The sequence below is a fragment of the Homo sapiens genome, chromosome 12 (genome assembly GCF_000001405.40).
Source record: "Homo sapiens chromosome 12, GRCh38.p14 Primary Assembly".
NCBI lineage: Eukaryota > Metazoa > Chordata > Mammalia > Primates > Hominidae > Homo > Homo sapiens.
The window spans coordinates 111,926,396-111,948,106 of NC_000012.12; the positions used below are offsets into that span (position 1 = coordinate 111,926,396).

The 21,711-nt window shown below is 40.3% G+C and overlaps 1 protein-coding gene and 1 pseudogene across 5 annotated transcripts in view; one reads left to right on the plus strand and one right to left on the minus strand.

Annotated features, from left to right (window-relative positions):
• Positions 799-2,539, plus strand: ADAM1B (ADAM metallopeptidase domain 1B (pseudogene); annotated as a pseudogene).
• The window catches only part of TMEM116 (transmembrane protein 116), an 81,938-nt gene continuing 65,113 nt past the window's right edge, over positions 4,887-21,711 (minus strand). For 3 of the 5 annotated variants that reach the window (NM_138341.3, NM_001193531.2, NM_001294314.2), the window contains 7 exons: positions 16,870-16,974; positions 11,766-11,815; positions 10,765-10,848; positions 10,297-10,435; positions 7,491-7,635; positions 6,191-6,264; positions 4,903-5,432 (listed from right to left, as the gene is read on the minus strand). In NM_138341.3, coding sequence (NP_612350.1) covers positions 5,226-5,432; positions 6,191-6,264; positions 7,491-7,635; positions 10,297-10,435; positions 10,765-10,848; positions 11,766-11,815; positions 16,870-16,908 — 738 coding nt within the window. In that variant the 5' untranslated portion in view covers positions 16,909-16,974 and the 3' untranslated portion in view covers positions 4,903-5,225. Of the gene's footprint in view, positions 5,433-6,190; positions 6,265-7,490; positions 7,636-10,296; positions 10,436-10,764; positions 10,849-11,765; positions 11,816-16,869; positions 16,975-21,711 lie in introns of all 5 variants that reach the window. The other 2 variants (NR_122119.1, NM_001193453.2) reach the window with 2 other exon arrangements.

Genomic DNA, 21,711 nt, shown 5'->3' on the forward strand with positions numbered 1-21,711 from the left:
GTAATAGTCAGGTGGGAACAGCTATCCTTCTGGCAGGCAGCATAGCTTTGAGCTTTAACCAAACAACTACATCACTGACAAAGGTCTGGGTCTAGGAAAAACAACTGAGATACAGAGGTTCAGGATTATTGGCTGTTTCACTTGGGCCATGACAATGACATCCCTAATTAATTACTTTGCCTCCCTCTTGATCCTTCTTCTGTGAAATCAAGCGGTCATAGGTAAGGTTTGGAATGATTTGCATTTTATCTTATTTTATTTATTTAGAAACAGGGTCTCACTCTGGCACCCAGGCCATGCAGGCTGGAATGCAATAGTACAATCATAGCTCACTGTAACCTCAAACTCCTATGCTCCAGTGATCCTCCTGCGTCAGCCTCCTTGAGTAGCTAGGACTACAGGTACATGCCACCACGCCTGGCTAATTTTTTAAATTTTTGTAGAGACAGGGTCTTGTTATGTTTCCCAAGCTGGTCTCAAACTCCTGGCCTCAAGTAATCTATCCACCTCAGCCTCCTGAAGTGCTGGAATTGTAGGTGTGAGTCACCACACCTAGCCTTGGAAATATTTTTCATCCAGGAATCCCTACATGGGGTTTTGAGAATGGGGGAAATATCTTTATTATAAAATAGTCATCCTAGAAACTTGATGATATTCAGAGGACTAGAAGAAAAAGGAGAAAAGGTGGCCTATGTCTTAATATGAGAAAATGGAATATTATTAAATTTGAAGCAAAATTAAGGATTGTTAATAAAAAACTTCCCTATCTGTACACATTAAAATGGGAAATAGAGCTTGGGCATGCCTTTTATACAGGATCACTGTTACTATAATGTAGAGTCAACAGTGACCTAGATTCTTTGGTGACTATCAGCACTTAAAAGGACCTTTTAAGAACTGGACTTCGGGTCGGGTGCAGTGGCTCATGCCTGTAATCCCAGCACTTTGGGAGGCCGAGGCGGGTAGATCACCTGAGGTCAGGAGTTCAAGACCAGCCTGACCAACATACCTCAAACAAATTTGAACATATGGTTTACAGCATATCTTGAAATCAGGATTCAGAGCAGAATAGAGCCCAGACCACATGCCCCATATATGGTTGTTTCCCAAATATGTAGAAATGTTTATTGTGGTTGACAATAAGTGGTTACAAATGTGGAATAATATAATGTGACCAACATTACACAGATGGTAACAGATGTTCACACGCTGGCCAAGTGATACAATAAGGAGCTAAATAATACTTACTGGTTAGATATATGGACTAGTTGGAGATACGGACAGAGAGAAGGCTAGTGCAAATGCCCCTGAATCTGCAGAAAATGTTTCAAAATTTTAACTGCGGAGAGACCAGCTGGCACCCCTTCAGAAAGGTGAAACATGTTGTTGCTCATATTTGGACCATTGGTCAAAATCCTGGAAAGTACCAGGGCTATGCATTTCTCAGTTGTATCTGTAGAGCTAAGAATACAATGAGTGTTGAATCTTTCTTTCATGAAGATATACCCCACTTTGCAGCTCTCATAGCTCATGAGCTTGGCCACAGCTTGGATATGAAACATGACTATATGGCCTACAAGTGTCATGGCCAGAACCTTTGTATTATGCATAAATTTATTACTATAGATATGGGCTTCAGCAACTGAAGCTTCCACTGATTCCATTAGTTTTTGCATAGGCACAGAGAAGACTGTTTAATAAACTTGAGCACCAAATCTCCTTTGGAAAGCCATATTGTGGGGACAAGATAGTGATGAAGGAGAAGAATGCAAGTGTGGCATTCTTTGATTGTGAAAGAATCCCTCTCATTGATTGTGAAAGGGATCACTGTTGTCTGCCCTCACAATAGCTGAAGAAGGGTTCAGATTGTGCATTTGGATTCTGTAGCAGACACTGCAAATTTCCAAGAGCAACCACACCCTGCTGCCTCAGTGGAGGTGAATATGACCTCTGAGAGTACTTTAATGGCACCTCCGAGTGGTGCCACACAGATATATACAAGGAAGATGGTATCCCTTGCAAAGAACAAGGTTATTGTTACCAGGGCCAGTGCAGAAGCCTAGAGAATCAGTGCATTAAAATCTCTGGAAAGGGCAAATGAGCTGCTTGGAAAAATTATCATTACCAAGGGGGATAGGTTTGGAAACTGGCAGTGAGTCTAAAGGATTGTTTAAAGTCTTCAGGAACTACAAGGCCAAATATGTAAGATGTGAGAGACTGCTATGTGAAAACATCTAAAGATCCCATAAACTGAAAAACATCAAACACCCATTTTCCCATGCAGGACATGTAGTGTTGGAGTATAAACAGGGCTGACGAGGGGGAGGTAAAAGATAGTCCATATGGTCCACAAAAGATCTGTATCAATCATTCCTGCTTAGATACCACTGTACTCCACTATGACTGCAACCTGGACAAGTGTCATGGGAGGGTTGTTTGCAACAATTTTAAGAACTAGCACTTGTCTACAACTATGCCCCTCCTACATGAGAATTTAAGGGTTAGGAGGTAGTCTAACAGTGGCCCAGCTCCACATATCCCCTCTGACTCTCAGTATGACAAAAAGCTGATAATCCTAATTCAAGTCTTATCTAGCCGCTTATTATTTCTCATTCCTACTATCTTTTTGTTTGCTTACATCCACGCATGATCTAAGAAATTGTCATACATCACTGGAACAGCAAGATAAACAAACCTGAAAAATATTTGATAATTACCTTCTTTCTGGTAATAAGGCCAAATATGAAGTGATACTGAAAGGACCTTTTAAGAAATGGACTTCTGGCCAGGTGTGGTGGCTTACGCCTGTAATCCCAGCACTTTGGGAGGCCGAGGTGGGTGGATCACCTGAGGTCAGGAGTTCAAGACCAGTCTGACCAACATGGTGAAACCTCGTCTCCACTAAAAATACAAAAATTAGCTGAGCATGCTGGCATGTGCCTGTAATCTCAGCTACGCGGGAGGCTGAGGCAGGAGAATCGCTTGAACCTGGGAGGTAGAGGTTGCAGTGAGCCGAGATCATGACATTACACTCCAGCCTGGGCAACAAGAGTGAAACTCTGTATCAAAAAGAAAGAAGAGGAAAGAAAGAAAGAAAGAAGGAAGGAAGGAAGGAAGGAAGGAAGGAAGGAAGGAAGGAAGGAAGGAAGGAAGGAAGGAAGGAAAGAAAGAAAAGAAAGGAAAGAAAGGAAAGAAAGAAAGGAAAGAAAGGAAAGAAAGAAAGGAAAGAAAGGAAAGAAAGAAGGAAGGAAGGAAGGAAGGAAGGAAGGAAGGAAAGAAAGAGAAAGAAAGAAATGGACTTCTGGTGGGGCGCAGTGGCTCATGCCTGTAATCCCAGCACTTTGGGAGGCCAAGGCGGGTGGATCACCTGAGGTCAGGAGTTCGAGACTAGCCTGACCAACATGATAAAACCCCGTCTCTACTGAAAAACTACACAAATTAGCCAGGTGTGGTGGTGGGCTCCTGTAATCCCAGCTACTTGGGAGGCTGAGGCAGGAGAATCGCTTGAACCCGGGACGGGGAGGTTGCAGTGAGCCGAGATCATGCCAACACACTCTTCCCTGGGCGACAGAGCAAGACTGTCTCAAAAAAAAAAAAAAAAGAACTGGACTTCTTGGTTCTGGTGTCCCTCAGGGACTATGGATATAGGAACTCTTTCTTGCTTCCATCTATTTTTCTATATGCTGACTGCTTATTAGTTTTTAAATTAAAAGAAGTTAACGCAGCTTTCTAGGTGAGGCAGTCTTTTTTTGTTCTGTGCTATCATGAAATCAGGTCTCAGGATTTTGGGGACAATGAGAAGCTTCAATATATGATCTTGACAGAATAAGGCCAGGTTACCCTCCATAACTTCCATGAAGCTCATGGTCTAAAACCGAAAGAGCTATCATTGAGCTCCCTGACATTTCTATAGAGAGCTCTTTTGGAAAAATCTCTGTAACTTACTTTTCAGAACATCCTGTCTAATCTTCCGTTATAATCCTCTCAATCAATTTCTCTAATCTTAAAGATTTTGCCTTGGACATACCAAGATAATGTATCAAGTGAGAATAAGGCTGCTTTTGTGATCATCAGATTATTAGGTCTAGATGTTTTGATTAATTATCATTCCAGTCACCTTGTCCATTTGGCTTTCCCTTTGTTTTGGCATCATAGTATATGATGCTCTGGCCTCAGATTGGCCTTGTTCATAACTTAGCTGGAGAGACCAAATATCACTGTTACATGATTCAAGAGGAATTAACAGATTAGATAGATATTCCCACCCCTGAATGAAGCTCTGCAGTCCGAGAATCTTTTCTTTCCCAAAAGATTTAAATTTTACTTATAAGTCACTAATTTGCTTGTTCACTCATTTATCCTATAAACATATATTTAACACTTACTATTAGGCTGAACTATGTGAAATTGATGACATTAGACCATTTTCACCTATAAAAATGGCAAGTTGTTCATACTGTTCAATCTAACTTTATACTTTGATAAATGAACACAATGAAACCAACCTTGTACTTCTGCTTGTAAATGCAAGTTAACAGTTATTGATTACTAGAGGTTTTTTTTAGTCTCTATTTCTCTTAAATCTTATTGTCCCTGTGACTTCAAAAGATTAGTCTTAGTATTCTAGAGTGGGGTGATCCCTATTGTTCAAGTCCTAGAACAGAACTGAACATATGAGACTAAGATGTGGTGTGTCTAAAGGTCCCACTGTCACTTTTTTGATAGTAGTTCTCCTTGTTTCCTATGAGTTTCCAAAACTCTTCATAGAATGGAAACCCAGGATTTTCTGTGTTCAACTTTAGAGACAGTAATAGCAATGGCAAGACCTGAGCAAGTTGTTGCATGCCCCCTGCCCCCACTTCCCCTGCAACCATGGAGTAGACAGCTTTGAAATGACACATATAAATAATAATCTAGAATTTATTTTTTCTAGAAGAGACTTAGACAAATCCAATATCCATCAAGGTAACACGAGTCTATCTCTGAGATGGAAAGTGTCTTCCTCTCCCTGAATAGAGACTTTAAGGATCACTAGTGAATCTGGGAATAACTGGAGAGATACTCCCAATTCATCTAGAATGACTACTAACAATGGCACTATATTTCCTTTGAGTTCTGCAGTTTAGGGCATAGTTAGAAAAGATTTAAGATGTCCTTTCCCAACATTCTTTCCAATCCATTAGCGTAGAATAACTCCAGTTCCTGGATGTTCCAGTATTGTAGTTTCAAAAAATGGTAGAAGTACTGGCAGGAAAAGTCAGGGTGGATTCCAGTGAATTTAAGCCCCTGCTATAGAATCTCTTCTGTGAGCATAATAATGGTGTCTGGGTATCTGCATCACGCCGAGCCTCCTGCTTTAGTTGGTGGAATTTGTGCTGCGTCCAGCCATATACTCCACAGTTGAGTAGACCCTGAGATGTTGCCGTTAGAGCCTGGAGGAGATGAAGGGGTGATGCAGCCCATGCTTCAGGTTTTCAGGGATCCAGGGAATAATTCTCACTCCCCTTATTCATAAAGCATTGTTATATTTTCTCTATCTCAAACATGAAGATCTGACATCAGTTTTTTATATTTTTCTAGTTCATCCTGAACTCACTGTCTACACTACACTGTTACGGATGACTGAGAGTTGGTCATACTTCTTAGTATATACATAGGGACAATGAAATAGCTTCAGTGCCCCCCCTTATTGCCTCATTTTCCAGGGTACCCTTGAGAAAACTGTCTCATCGGAATAGTCAGATAGCCCAAAAATCTTCTTAAATCCAATAAAGAAAAAAAAGAGAGATGATCATTCCATCCCCTCCTCACCATTCACCAAGAATAGCTCATTTATCCCATTCAGTTTACTCTGGATGGGAGAGAACCATGTCACTATCAATGTTTCATAAGAACATACCTGGCAGATCTTGTTTATTTTTGCTGCCCATTCCTTAAAAACACATCAGTAAAATGAAGTTGACCAGAGATATATACGCTCTGGAATGCATGGAGGTACTTTTACAACATTATCTACCTCGACTTTGAGAAAATTTTCACATTCTTCATAACTGAGTGTAAATAATACATTTTCTCTTTTGCAATGTAGAAGTACCCGGAGGGAAAAAATCATCCTTACCGAGTAAAGGTAGTATAAGAAAATAGGATAAGCGGGTGTAAGAACAGAGATACTGAATGTTGAAGGTGTTACCTGGAGAACATAAAGGGCCATGTGAAGCTTGGTGTCCTGTGGCTTAGTCAGCTTTATGATCATTAGAATGACAGCTGTGAATACACAAAGTGTAAACCTTCTTGTCAGCCCTGACTGTCTGAAGTATCAGGTTCCTCCACACACGTCTGAGCATTATCAGAATGGAAACAATAGGCATAATAAAATCCATCAGTGACGTTAACTTGTTATGCAAACCAATGAGTCTTAGGCCTCCAACTTCTAGTCTTTACTGATGAAACTTTGTAGATTATTAGTGTAGTAATGGTAGCAGGATATACTACAGGAAGGTAATAATTTATACTTCCTATCAATTCAGATTTTCCCAAGCTCTTTCATAAAAATTATCCAATCTGGGCGGGCGCAGTGGCTCATGCCTACAATCCCAGCACTTTGGGAGGCCAAGGTGGGCAGATCACCTGAGGTCAGGAGGTTGAGACCAGCCTGGCCAACATGGCGAAACCCTGTCTCTATTAAAAATACAAAAATTAGCTGGGCATGGTGGCATGCGCCTGTAATCCCAGCTACTCGGGAGGCTGAGGCAGGAGAATTGCTTGAACCTGGGAGGCAGAGGTTGTAGTGAGCTGAGATTGCACCACTGCACTCCAGCCTGGGCAACAGAGTGAGACTCTGTCTCAAAAAAAAAAAAAAAAATTATCTAACCTGATCCTCACTATAACCTTATGTAGTAGGAAGGGCAGGTGTTAATATCTCCAAGTCTGTCACAATGTTTTCTCCTCTTATATCATGGTGCATCTCATGTCTAATTATCTCAATTTCTAAAACATAAGAAGCAAAAGGAGTTAAGGAGGGTAGTAAAAACTGGAAATATGGGTAGGGCCCATACAAATTTTATAAACTGAATAGGAATTTGCAGCCATCCTTCTTTTTTTTTTTTTTTTTGAGATGGAGTCTCGCCCTGTCACCCAGGCTGGAGTGCAGTGGTGCAATCTTGGCTCACTGCAAGCTCCACCTCCCAGGTTCACACCATTCTCCTGCCTCAGCCTCCCAAGTAGCTGGGACTATAGGCGCCTACCACCACGCCCGGCTAATTTTTTTTTTTTTTGTATTTTTAGTAGAGACGGGGTTTCACTGTGTTAGCCAGGATGGTCTCGATCTCCTGACCTCGTGATCCACCTGCCTCAGCCTCCCAAAGTGCTGGGATTACAGGTGTGAGCCACTGTGCCCGACCTCAGCCATCCTTCTTAGTGAGACCACTTTGCTTGATCAGAACCTAATAACTGCCCTCTTCACTGCCCATCTCTTCTTGTTAAGTACCTACCTGGGCCCCAGCAGCAAAAGAAGGCCACTGGGTAGAAGCGCACCCGTTGGTCCACAATGTGAATCACTGCCCACTGTTCACTCCCCAGAAAGCCAGTTGACTTCACAAACTTCTTATACAATGTCTGGGCTCGGATAAGTAAGACCTAAATATGAGTACAGCAGTGAGCAGTTTGCTTAAAGCTTAGTAAAATGCCCCAGGTCTATCCTCCTATCATTTTAAAAAGATTATTCTCTTAGAATCTCACAACAGGAACGACCCCATTCTCTTGTCTTTACTTTCTGAGATCAGGCTTTTTTTTAAGAGAAAATTACCTTCAGAGTGAACTTTTACTAGGCTAGGGAAATGGACAGGTAACTAGCCAAACTTGTGTATCACGTTTAACACATGAACCTTACATCAACCTCTGGGCATTTCCCCCCACTGAGGCTAATCACAGTTTACCCAGGAAGTTAAAAGTAAGCTCTAACTAGTTCCTCTTAAAACACTTTATTAGAGATTTTGTTAGAAAGTGTTCTATGCTTAACACTTCAGCACCATGGCTGAGCTTAAATTCTCAACTCTAAGCAACAGAAGTTTTAGAAAGTCACTTTGCACCCGGTGCGGTGGCTCACGCCTATAATCCCAACACTTTGGGAGGCTGAGGCAGGCAGATCACGAGGTCAGGAGTTCAAGACAGCCTGACCAGCATGGTGAAACCTGTGTCTACTAAAAATACAAAAATTAGCCAGTCGTGGTGGCATGTGCCTTTAATTCCAGCTACTCAGGAGGCTGAGGCAGGAGAATTGCTTGAACCTGGGAGGCAGAGGTTGTAGTGAGCTGAGATGCGCCATTGCACTCCAGCCTGGGCAACAGACCGAGACACCGTCTCAAAAAAAAAAAAGAAAGAAAGAAAGTCACTTCTTGCCTTTAGATGGAAAACAAATTGCTTTTTCCCTATTGTCAGCTGTCTGAATAAGGTTTAGCTCATGAAACAAATATAAATCAGTTCAAAAGTCCAATGTGTTTTTTTGCAAAAATTAAATTAGATAACACTCTTGGTAACAAATCTGAATCTTTTCCCTAATCCAGATCTACTCTCTAAATTAATAACCTCATTACTTAATCAAGTTCAGCCATGTACATAGTCTCTTTTCCCTACATAAGCATCAAAAGGAGACTTGAGTTTGAGAAAACTTAACGTCTAAAAGAATCAGTTCACCATCTGTTGATTTATTTATTTTTTTAGAGATGGAGTCTTGCTCTGTTGCCCGGGCTGGAGTGCAGTGGCACGATCTCAGCTCACTGCAACCTCCGCCTCCCGGGTTCAAGCAATTCTCCTGCCTCAGCCTCCCAAGCAGCTGGGACTACAGGTGCATGCCGCCATGCCCGGCTAATTTTTTTTGTATTTTAGTAGAGATAGGGTTTCACTGTGTTGCCCAGGCTGGTCTCAAACTCCTGAGCTCAGGCAATCTGCCTGTCTCGGCCTCCCAAAGTGCTAGGATTACAGGCATGAGCCACCATGCCCGGCCGCCATCTGCTGATTTTTAAAGAATCTAGAATGCTAATTCTGAATATACACTGAAACCTGGGCTATTCTAAAGAAGCAATCAGGAATCCTCAGGGTGCCAGGATTTGGGACCTGTCTCTCTTGTTAGTCAGTTCCAAACGTAAACCATCAAACCCATTTTAATATGAACTAGTTATTGTGTACTCTTTACAACCTGTTGATTTGAACTGAGCCATCTCGTGTGTGTGTGTGTGTGTGTGTGTGTGTGTGTGTGTGTGTGTGTGTGTTTTGAGACAGAGTATCCTCTGTTGCCCAGGCTGGAGGGGCACGATCTCAGCTTACTGTGACCTCTGTCTCCTGGGTTCAAGCGATTCTCATGCCTCTGCCTCCTGAGTAGCTGGGACTATATGCACATGCCACCATGCCTGGCTAATTTTTGTATTTTTAGTAGAGACGGGGTTTAGCCATGTTGGCCAGACTAGTTTCGAATTCCTGGCCTCAAGTGATCTACCCGCCTTGGCCTCTCAAAGTGCTGGGATTACAGGTATGAGCCATTGTGCCCAGGCAAACCAAGCCATCTCTATAACTTATGTTTGAATTGCCAAAGGAAATTCCCCATAACTGTATCTAGTTCACAGGTGCTAGTGGGACACATTTGATCTGCAGGTAGATACCTTGTAATTCTTGAACTGAAATATAAAAAGAGGAGAAAATGATACTGAAAAATAGATATGGGAAATACAAAGGCATATTTGCTCATTTACTGCTTTTGTATGAGGCAGTTATGTAACTTACTATCCCCTGGCTAATTATTCTAATTGTATATCATCCTGATGATATCAAATGAGTATCTGAAAACTTCATGAGCCACTTAGCACTTTAGCCCCAGTTAGACATAGCATAAATGCAAATTTATGGCCAAATGTAGAATTTAAAAAAGAAAATTATTTTATTATTTGGAAAATTAAATCAAAGCATATGTTCTATGTTTCAGAGTGTCATCCTAACTATGTAAAGGATATATTTGGCACATATGAGTTTTCTGGCCATAGGGGATTGATGAAGCCTATACTAGTTGTAGAGTGAGCATAATTTTCACCTAATAAATACAAGCTCTTTTCTCTCTCTTATCATTTGATTTGGGGAAGTGCAAAAGTCTGAGGCAGTAATTATATTGTCAAGATCTCCTAGCTACTTTCTTAGTTCTAGGACCACAAGAAGTGCCTCTCTGCCCCATCTTTCCCAGGTCCTGGGAATACTGGCCCATCCCCTTCATTTCCTCATCTCTCCACAAAGGAAGGTAGGGTGGTACCATACCATAATGGTAAGGAGGCTGAGTACAAAGCTGCCCAGGAAAATGGCGATACCATAAAAATAAAGTGTGCTACAGACAGATGTGTTGGCAGAAGGTGGAAGTTCAGCCATGGCTGATGGTGGTGAGTGCATCAAGATACACCTAGGAAGAAAATCAATAAACAGGAGTACTACTACAGATGTAAGAAAAGAGCTGCTCAACAAGACTTAATAAGCATGTTATTTTACTTATCATTTTGCTAACTCTTGCTCATAAAACCTTGTCTCTCCCCCACAGACACATTATCTTGTAGTCATTTTGTGTTACACTTTTACTTATATATTTTCAGCCTTTACTACATCTTGTTCCTTAGCCCATTTCTAATATTAGCACTTTGGTCAGAATTATGTGGAAAGTCTTTTTCCAGCTCTATTTATAGAAACAAATAGGTGTAGTCTGCCATGAAAATTATACATTTAGTTCTTACTTACTTGTGGCTCTGACTGAAGTTTTGGAAACATTCACTAGTATTTCCCAGACAGAATACAGGTGTCATCAATAGCAGAGGTATCAGGCTGGGAGGGAAAAAAAGTATCACCCTAATATCCACTCTTTTTCATGCCCTTCCTCCTTTGAAGAATATTCTCCTGCTCTTCCCTCAACTCTATCATCCCACCAATCTCCACAAATAACACATTTAATTTCTTCAAGAAAAATACCTCAAATACCTTAGGTATTCCTTCTTTTCCAGTTCCTAGGGAAGTACAATGCAGTAGGGAATTAATTTTATACCTAGGCTAATGAACGCTACCATAGTTTCACAGAGAATCTCTGGTAGCTGTATGGTCAGATAAAAATGCAAGTGAGTCAGAGTGAAAGGAAAATCTACTAAGGAGTTCTGTGTGCAGTCTGTTTTACTTTCTATGGTGACCAGGGATAATCTCATTCTCATCAGCCCCTTCTTGGGAGCTTTTCCAAAGTGTAGCTTTAAATAGCCAGCTATTTATCCTGCTAAATATAGCCAGCTCCCTGTAAGAGGAAAAGATCCAGGAACAAAAGTCACAAAGTCTAAAACCAACTCTGATATGGCCACCACTTTAGGTGAGATCCAAACCCTTTCTGGACTCTGTAATCCTAAGAGTCTTACCCAATGTTATAAAGTAGATGATATCCTGAAGGCCATCTATTACAACTCTTTATGATACAGGAAAAGGAATAAGTGATCCAAAGACTCAAAGAAATTTGTTCAAGGTTAGTTACATAGAGTTGATGGTAGATTTGGAGCTAAAACCCAAATCTATAACATCAAGCTACTTCCCTATTCAATGTGGAAAAATGGAAGCAATGAACACGTATTTGTTGTTTCTAAGTTAGGCTCTGTGAGGACTTAGGACTGACAATGGAAATAAAGGGCACTGTCCTATTTGTTCCCACCTGAACACCAGAATAATGAGAGTCTACACCTCGCTAAGAAGTAAAGAAAAAATTTTACCTTGAGAAAACAAAGGCCATTTGACAAACTCGACAAGTATAATCTATCACCTGTGAAAAGAATAAATGTGAGAAATGTCTTAAGACATTGTCAATCATATAATAATAAATACCAGATCATCAGTTAACACTCAATAGAACAAAAAGATTTCCAAAAGCCAGTTTGCTTCTGTCAAGCAATATTTGCTATAAAATTCATCAAATAGATAGTTCCTTATTAGCACTGTATATAATAGAATTTTATCTCTATTACTATATTCTAAAAAGTACAACAACAACAACAACAAAGCCACAAAGAAAGCCTGCAGGAAGTAGCCTAATATGGACTTTGGGCACTCAAACAAATTCTTTTAAAAAGAAAGGCATATATGAAATCATATAGTAACCCTCTATCTTCTAATAACAGTTCAGCTCTTTTCTCTTAGACCCAGAGATGTGTGGACTTCTTCAGACTTTATGAGTGGAATGAAACCCTTCTTATAAGACGACCAGTAAAAAGTGTAATAGTCCAGGATTAGTATAATAGGGCAGGGTCAAATATGCCCTTTGGATATAAGACTGTTAGACACTACACGATAGAACATTTTCAAAATCTTGACTTGTGTTAGACACTGTAAAACAACTTACAGAATAGTTTTTCCTACCCTCTAGGACCTTATGATGTAAGACTTTGAACAGAACATCTTAAAGAAATAATAGAATTAAAAATAAGCTTTTTTCTAATTTAAGATAGAAAACATATATTTGGAATGGCATTGTTAGGGATCAATAAGCATTAAGTGAGTAATTAATCAATAATCAGATATTGGTAATTAATTTGCCCCAAACAGTTTGGAGCAGGAATAGGACAGCTAGCATTGACTTTAGGAAAATAAATAAAATTGTTTTTTGTGACCCCTCCCACTCACTTCCCTTCTTCACTTTTTATTCTTTCCTCTGTCAGGTGGTTATCCAGTGTTTAACTCCTATTTTTACCTGGGTACCAATGAATCTCTGATAAAAAGCTTATTGCTGGCTGGGTGCAGTGGCTCATGCCTGTAATCCTAGCACCATGGGAGGCCGAGACAGGTGGATCACGAGGTCAAGTGATTGAGACCATCTGGGCCAACATAGTGAAACCCTGTCTCTACTAAAAATACAAAAATTAGCTGGGTGTGGTGCCATGCACCTGTAGTCCCAGCTACTCAGGAGGCTGAGGCAAGAGAATTGCTTGAACCCGGGAGGTGGAGGTTGCAGTGACCAGAGATCATGCCACTGCACTCCAGCCTGGTGACAGAATGAGAATCCGTCTCAAAAAAAAAAAAAAAAAAAAAGTTTATGGCAGAAGTCTTGCTAGAGTATTTCAAAGAGAACTCAGGCCTAACACAGTGGCTCACATCTGTAATCCCAGCACTTTGGGAGGCCAAGGCAGAAGGATCACTTGAGCCCAGGAGTTCGAGACTAGCCTAGGCAACATAGTATGACCTCCTACTCCGCCCATCTCTACAAAACTACAATTAAAAAAAAAAAAAAGAAAAAATTAGCCAGGCATGGTGGCACACATCTGCGGTCCCAGCAACTTGGGAGGCTGAGACGGGAGGATCACTTGGGCCCAGGAGATTGAGGCAGCAGTGAACTGTGATCATATTACTGCACTCCAGCGTGAGTGACAGAGTGAAACCTTGTATCAAAAAAATAAAAAGAAAAGAAAACCCAAAGAAGAAAAAGTATCTTCAAAGCTCTGTGTGTGTGTGTGTGTGTGTGTGTGTGTGTGTGTGTGTGTGTGTGTGTGTGTGTATGGAGCTACTACAACAGCAGACTAATAGGTAGTGGAGTTAATATCTTAGGCTATGGTTGGGCATGGTGGCTTATGTCTGTAGTCCCAGCACTTTGGGAGGCTGATGTGGGTGGATCACCTGAGGTCAGGAGTTCAAGACCAGCCTGGCCAACATGGCAAAACCCTGTCTCTACTAAAAATACAAAAATTAGCCGGGTGTGGTGGCATGCACCTGTAGTCCCAGCTCCTCAGGAGGCTGAAGCAGGAGGATCGCTTGAACCTGGGAGGCGGAGGTTGCAGTGAGTCAAGATTGCACCACTGCACTCCAGCCTGGGCAACAGAGTGAGACTCTGTCTCAAAAAATATATATATATATGTATGTATATTTTCCCTTCTTCATATATATATATCTATACATATAAAATACTTTTTCCTCTTTGGGTTTTCTTTTCTTTTTATTTTTTTGAGACAGGGTTTCACTCTGTTACTCAGGCTGGAGTGCAGTGGTATGATCACAGCTCATTGTGGCCTCAATCTCCTGCCCCCCACATATATATATATACATACACACACACACACACACATATATATACACACATATATATGTGTATATATATATATATATATATACACACACACATATATATGTGTGTATATATATATATATATCTTCGGCTAAAGCTTTTCTTCTTGAAACCAGTGATAGAGTATGGGTTATAAAGAGAAGTACAGTATATGCATTTGTATGCATAGAAAGCAGTAGGATACCATATTTGAGAGCTAATCTTATGTCCTTCCCATTTTTCTTTCAAATATTTTTTTGTTCTGCTGCCAGGAGCTTAAGCCTCAGAAAATTATTGCCCCATGTTTTCTCCATTCTTGGCTTCTGGTCTAATCATGGCAACTTCTTTAGGGAATGACTTGTGGCTGAATAAGTCTCACAAGCTACAGTTAGTCTACTGGCTTTTGAGTGAATGAATGAATAAATAAAAACTTGAAATGCTATCCCTGTAAGGCTGCTGGACTTTTTAGACATTCATTTACCTAAAGGGAAAGATACTGAATAATTATTTCTTTACAGTATCTTTCAGTTACAGAATACTAAAGGATATATAGCCACGGGTCCTTACTAACTTGTAGGGAGCTAAGAAACTAAGCGAGTTTAAAATATGGAAGAGTAGGCCGGGCGCGTTGGCTCATGCCTGTAATCCCAGCACTTTGGGGGGCTGAGGAAGGCAAATCACGAGGTCAGAAGATCGAGACCATCCTGGCCAACATGGTGAAACCCCATCTCTACTATAAATACAAAAATTAGCTGGGTGTGGTGGCATGTGCCTGTAATCCTAGCTACTTGGGGGGCTGAGACAGAAGAATCGCTTGAACCAGGGAGTCGGAGGCTGCAGTGAGCCGAGCTTGTGCCACTGCACTTCAGCCTGGCGACAGAGCGAGATTCCATCTCAAAAAAAAAAAAAAAAGAGTAATTATTAGTATGGAATACCCAGAGGTAAACTAAAGAAAAGGTGCCAGAGTATAATCCTGTGTTGCACAATATAGTAGCTGCATGTGGCTAATTAAATTAAAATTAATTAAAATTAAATAAAATTTAAAATTCAATTCCTCAATCACACTAGCCACATTATAAGTTTTCGGTATCCACATATAGCTAGTAGCTACTGAACTAGACTGTGAATTAAATATTTTTATTATTGAAAAAAGTTGAACAGCTCTTATATAGACAATGATATCTTGTTCAGGATACTGCTTAAGGGCCTCTTCATGTTACTTTTTCAGTTATTTCCTCAGTGTCCTTTCTCCTTAAAGCAAGAAAGAGTAAGAGACAGAAATTTTAAAAGCATTCTCTGCCCCTACCCTTCTTCAAACATGAACGTCTAGAACAACATAAAAAAGTAAGAAGAGTACCTCCTTAAGAAGTCAATCAGATGAAGAGTTCATAGAATCATAGCATCTTGGGGGTGGAAGGGACATTAAAGATCACATAGACTAACATTTCATTTTATTTTATTTTTATTTTTATTTTTTTAGACAGAGTTTTGCTCTCGTTGCCCAGGCTGGAGTGCAATGGTGCAATCTTGGCTCACCGCAACCTCTGCCTCCTGGGTTCAAGCAATTCTCCTGCCTCAGCCTCCCAAATAGCTGGGATTACAGGCATGCGCCACCATGCCTGGCTAATTTTGTATTTTTAGTAGAGACGGGGTTTCTCCATATTAGTCAGGCTGGTCTCAAACTCCTGACCTCAGGTGATCCACCCATCTTGGCTTCCCAGAGTGCTAGGATTACAGGTGTGAGCCACCACGCCCGGCTAACACTTCATTTTGTTTGCTTGTTTTTGTTTTTGTTTTGTTTTGTTTTTTTGAGACGGAGTCTCTCTCTGTCGCCCAGGCTGGAGTGCAGTGTGGCATGATCTCGGCTCACTGCAAGCTCCGCCTCCCGGGTTCATGCCATTCTCCTGCCTCAGCCTCCTGAGTAGCTGGGACTACAGGCGCCCGCCACCACGTCTGGCTAATTTTTTGTATTTTTAGTAGAGATGGAGTTTCACCGTGTTAGCCCGAATGGTGTCAATCTCCTGACCTCGTGATCTGCCCGCCTTGGCCTCCCTAAGTGCTGAGATTATAGGCATAAGCCACTGCGCCCGGCCAACACTTCATTTTACAATGAAAAATTGGAGGTGCAAGAAAGGGAGATGATATGTCTAAGGTCACAACAGGAGATAAATAACAGAACTGGGTCTCGCAGGGTTGGCATGGAGTCAAGAAGAATTTCCCTTGCTGAGTCAAACCAGGCAGGAATGCCAGCACTGTAAATAATACTCCTATAATCAAACCTGTATGTGTATGTGTGTGTGTGTGGGTGTGTGTGTGGGTGTGTGTATGTGTGTGTGAGAGAGAGAAGGGAGAAGAGGAAGTGATGTCAAAAGAATGGAAACAGTGGGAACACGTTTTTTCTTCAATTAACCTCCATAAATGCACCTAGCTAGTGCTAAATGCTTACACCGTTTATCAGGGATATACAGGGATTGTTTTTACACACTTTTTTTTTTTTGAGACAGGGTCTGTCTCTGTCACCCAGGCTGGGGTACAGTGGCTCAAGTGATCCTCCCACTTCAGCCCCCGGAGTAGCTAGGACTCCAGGCATGTGCTACAATGCCCGGCTAATTTTTTTGGTATTTTTTGTAGAGATGGGCTTTCACCACTTGCCCAGACTGGCCTCGAATTCCTGGGCATAAGCAATCTGCCCCCCTCAGCCTCCCTAACTGCTGGGATTACAGGTAGGAGTCACCACACCCGGCCTAGCATACTATTATTAACTATCAGCCCTGAATAAAACTTACCAGTGGAGATGTGCTCTGTCCACTCTGGGTGTGTTTCATCCTCAGCTCTGTGTACAAATACCAGATGTAATTGACGGTGTAGAGAAATGAGGAAATGTAGAATATCTAGGTTAAAATCAAAACAACCCATCATAACTATCTCACTCTGACACTGTGAAGTTCTTTCAACATACTTCATTATTTTCTATTATGAGAATCCTACCTACTAGTCTATTAGTAATGTACCATCTAGTGTCCATACCAGGCAAAACCATACCAAGTCTGAAATTCTTTTTTGTGTGTGTATGTGACAGAGTTTTCGCTATTGTTGCCTAAGCTGGAGTGCAATGGCACAATCTCGGCTCACTGCAACCTCTGCCTCCCAGGTTCAAGCGATTCTCCTGCCTCAGCCTCCCGAGTAGCTGGGATTACAGACACGTGCCACTACGCCCCGCTAATTTTATTGTATTTTTGGTAGAGATCGGGTTTCACCATGTTGGCCAGGCTGGTCTCGAACTCCTGACCTCAGGTGATCCACCTGCCTTGGCCTCCCTAAGTGCTGGGATTACAGGTGTGAGCAATCGCACCTGGCCCCAAGTCTGAAACTCTAACAGGCCTACCTAAAACATGCCCTGCTTCCTTATTTTATCCTTTGGACTGTTCAAAAGAACCACAGCATTATCCACCTCTACCTGCCCCACAGTCCCACTTTTACGAAGATATCATATAATCTTTTTCTATTTTATTTTTTAATTGAAAAGGCAATAAGGATTTCTACTTCTAGTAATGACAGGCTAAGCTATTTGAATCAACTTTCCATTCAAAAGAACTAAACATGCTGAATAAGATATTTTTTAAAAAATCCTTAAAAGAACCTAAGAACTGAGATGATATCAAGGAACTAGTAGGATAAAATCTAAGAGAAGGAATTTCTACTTCCAGCTTTGATGAGATAACAGGAATAGAATTTACCCTCCAGCCTTAAACAACTAAAAATTGAATAAAATATATGAAAATATCCAGTTTTCAAACAGTAGGCAACAAGCAGAAGAGAACAGCAATCCCTGAAAAAAGAAAAGCAAGGCGAGTCCATCAAGTACCCCAGCTCACCAGCTGGTAAGAGCGAGTATAGGAGGGCTGGGCACAGTGGCTCACCCTGTAATCTCAGCACTTTGTGAGGCCGTGGTGGGCAGATCATGAGGTTGAGATCGAGATTATCCTGGCCAACATGGTGAAACCCCATCTCTACTATAAATACAAAAATTAGAGTGAGTACAGGAGGGGGAATCCAAACAGACCACTGTCTTGGTGAGCTGAGCGACAGAATTCAGTTTGGGAGGCCAAGGCAGCTAAAATTTGTGAAGTACAGTATCAGAGCAGAGGAAGCTATATGGTAAGACAATGCTCAGGAGAGCTGCAGAGGTCACCCCAAGTCTTTGGTTAAGTATTAATCAATGTATATGGAAGAGAAAACCATGAAAACCAGAGAAAGAATCCTCAGAAAAGAGTAGGTGGGACAATCCCTAAAGCTCACACAGGGCCAGGAATAGTTTGTTTGCTTTCTCATCAATCAGAGTGGAAGAATACACAGGGCATAATCATAAGAAGAGTATTGCTTCTGTAATGGGACCAAATTAGCTGTACATAAAAGGCTGCCCTCACAAGGCTTAAAAGCAAGCCTAATTAGTGGGGGTGGTGGTGTATGCCTGTAATCCCAGCTACCCTGGAGCCTGAGGCAGGCAAATCACTTGAGCCCTGGAGATGGAGGTTGCACTGAGACAAGATCGCGCCACTGCACTCCAGCCTGGACGACAGAGTGAGACTCCATCTAAAAAAAAAAAAAAAAAAAAAAGCAAGCCTTTAAAAAACAGGCAAACCTTGAAAAGGTCAGGAGTTCGAGACCAGCCTGGCCAATATGGTGAAACCCCCATCTCTACTAAAAATACAAAAATTAGCCAGGCATGGTGGTGTGTGCCTGTAGTCCCAGCTACTTGGGAGGCTGAGGCAGGAGAATCGCTTGAACCCAGGAGGTGAAGGTTGCAGTAAGCCGAGATCGAGCCATTGCACTCCAGCCTGGGCAACAGAGCTAGACTCCATCTCAAAAAAAAAAAAAAAAAAAAAAAAAAGAAGAAGAAATAGGTAATTTCATTTACGCCCAGTAGAGGGAACCAGGATGTCATTGTATCTGTTAGATTTTTTTTCAGCCCTCATAGCAGATACATAAGCATTCTAAATTTGACCCTTCTTGAAGTTTTCAGGTTTAAAATTTTGTAACACCTTAAGTGATATTGTTAAAAACCTCAAGAACTGTAATTAATGTTAACATTCTTCAATAGCAAAGATAAATGATTATTAATTTATCATCTTAACTACTTTGTATTATTTTGAGAGACTCAGGACTCATCTTTATTTTGTTAAACTCCCAGAGACACAAATATTCATTGAATGACTACCTTGCATAAAGAAGAATCTATGATAGGGAAGACAAATGAGAACCTTCTGCTTAATCTCATACAGATAGTCCCTAACTTTATAATTGTACAACTTATAATTTTTCAACTTTATTATGGTATAAAAGAGATATGCATTCAGTAGAAACTGTACTTCTTTATGTACCCATACACCCATTCTGTTTTTCACTTTCAGGACAGTATTCAATAAATTAAATGAGATATTCAACACTTTATTATAAAATAGGCTTTGTGTTTTGCCCAACTGTAGGCTAATGTAAGTGTTCTGAGCATGTTTAAGTTAGGCTAGGCAAAGCTATGATGTTTTAATTCCACAATCTGTTTCTTTAAATTTTCAACCATCTCCTAAACTGAAGCTTTATGTTTAGAACAATGTTTTCCTCTAGTATAACTTGATTCTGTACTCCTGGATTTTCTTGATTTGTCAAAATTGTTCCATGTAACCAGACAATTTCACATGCTTTTACTTTTTCTAAAATCCATACATTCCCCTTGCCAAGACCAGCTTGGTCATGGAGACCCTAACCCAGTGGTGCTAGAGGAATTAAAGACACACACACAGAAATATAGTGTGGAGCGGGATCAGGGGGCTGACAGCCTTCAGAGCTGAGAGCCCTGAACAGAGTTTGACTCACATATTTATTGACAGCAAGTCAGTAATAAGCATTAGTTCTATAGATTATAGATTAACTAAAAGTATTCCTTACAGGAAACAAACGGATGGGCCAAAACAAAGAGATGGGCTCTGGCTAGTTATCTGCAGCAGGAACATGTCCTTAAGGCGCAGATCGCTCAGGATATTGTTTGTGGTTTAGGAACACCTTTAAGTGGTTTTCCACCCTGGGTGGGCCAGGTGTTCCTTGCCCTCATTCCAGTAAACCCACAACCTTCAGCGTGGGCGTCATGGCCATCACAAACATGTCACAGTGCTGCAGAGATTTTGTTTATGGCCAGTTTGGGATTTGGGGGCCTGTTCCCAACACCCCTGCTTAAGATACTAGTTTTCTTGTTTACTTCTCCTATAAAACTGTGTACACTCTCATAATCTTGAACACATACTCTTCCAGTATCTGATTAAAACCCATTTATGCCTAGTGTTCCATTATTGGAATGCTAAGCATGTAGAAGTTACATCCTACTGCTCAAGGTCATCCCCAAGGTCTGATTTTTCACACGTCTGCAATTCAAAAAAGCTGCAACCTCCAGCATAAATGGGTTAAAGTCAAGTACCTTTTCATCAGATTTGACTCCCAGGTCATCTAAATGAACTTTCCATAAAAAGAAAAAAAAATCATATTACAGGTTTTTCTTTAAATTCTTGATAACTGGCCTAAAAAAACCAAAGATTTTACATTTAATCAAAATAATTTCCTGTGTTTCATATTGTTATATTGGGTTTTTAATTAAAGTGTTAAAAAATTTATATCCACATAAATTTCTGTACTTGCTTTTAAAGACTTTTTTTTTTTTTTTTGCTTTTAAAGACTTTTGATGGTCACTCTGGTTAAATAAATGATTATTATTTCATAGTGACATGTGATCCTGTTTTGAGCAAGTGTTTTAAACCTTTTAACATCTTTGACAGGCTTCCCCAGAATCAGACTCTAAATTAAGTCTTTTTTGACTTCAAACTAACTTTGGGTTATTCCATTTGGCCTCAGAACTTCTCAAAAGTTTATAAAAGAGAAATATTAAACAAAATCAGGCTTACTTGAGATGTCAAATTATATGGAAAACATTGTCAAAAGGTAAGTGATGTTAGATCTACTTTCAGTTACTTTTATGGGTATGTTATTGATATAAATGTTCCAAAATTGTACAAAACTCTTAAAATCTAATATGGTATCAGTCATAATTCTGATTACTATTTTATACCACAAAAATAACCACATTTAATTGTGAATGTCTGGTTATGGTAAACTTTCACCAGATTTTACATGGTTATTCAAAGGTTGTGTCATCCTCAGTTATTGTTTTCATTCTTCCCTACAGGTATCTGCAATCAGATTCATGAAAAAGACTCTAACAAGTACTCTTAAATACAAATTTCTAATAACTTCAATATTAATGGACTAAATACAAATTTTCCAAAACTCCAATGCAAAAATTAATAAATCTGCAAAACTGCTAATCAAGATAAAACCAAAAAATTAGTTACATGAGATTAAATAACATAAAAGTAATGTTTTTATGACTTTTATTTAAAAGTTTATTTGGAATTAAAGTATTTGGCTGGCTAAAACAAATACATTTTTTAAAACCTTGTTGTTTTTTGTTTCCTGTTGGGACTCAGGAAAAAGAAAAAACACTGTTGGTTCTTTACTTAAATGTTTTGTTTTCCAAATTTTAAAAACTGGTCGGGCCAAGGATCACTCATCTGGTTTGGGAGATC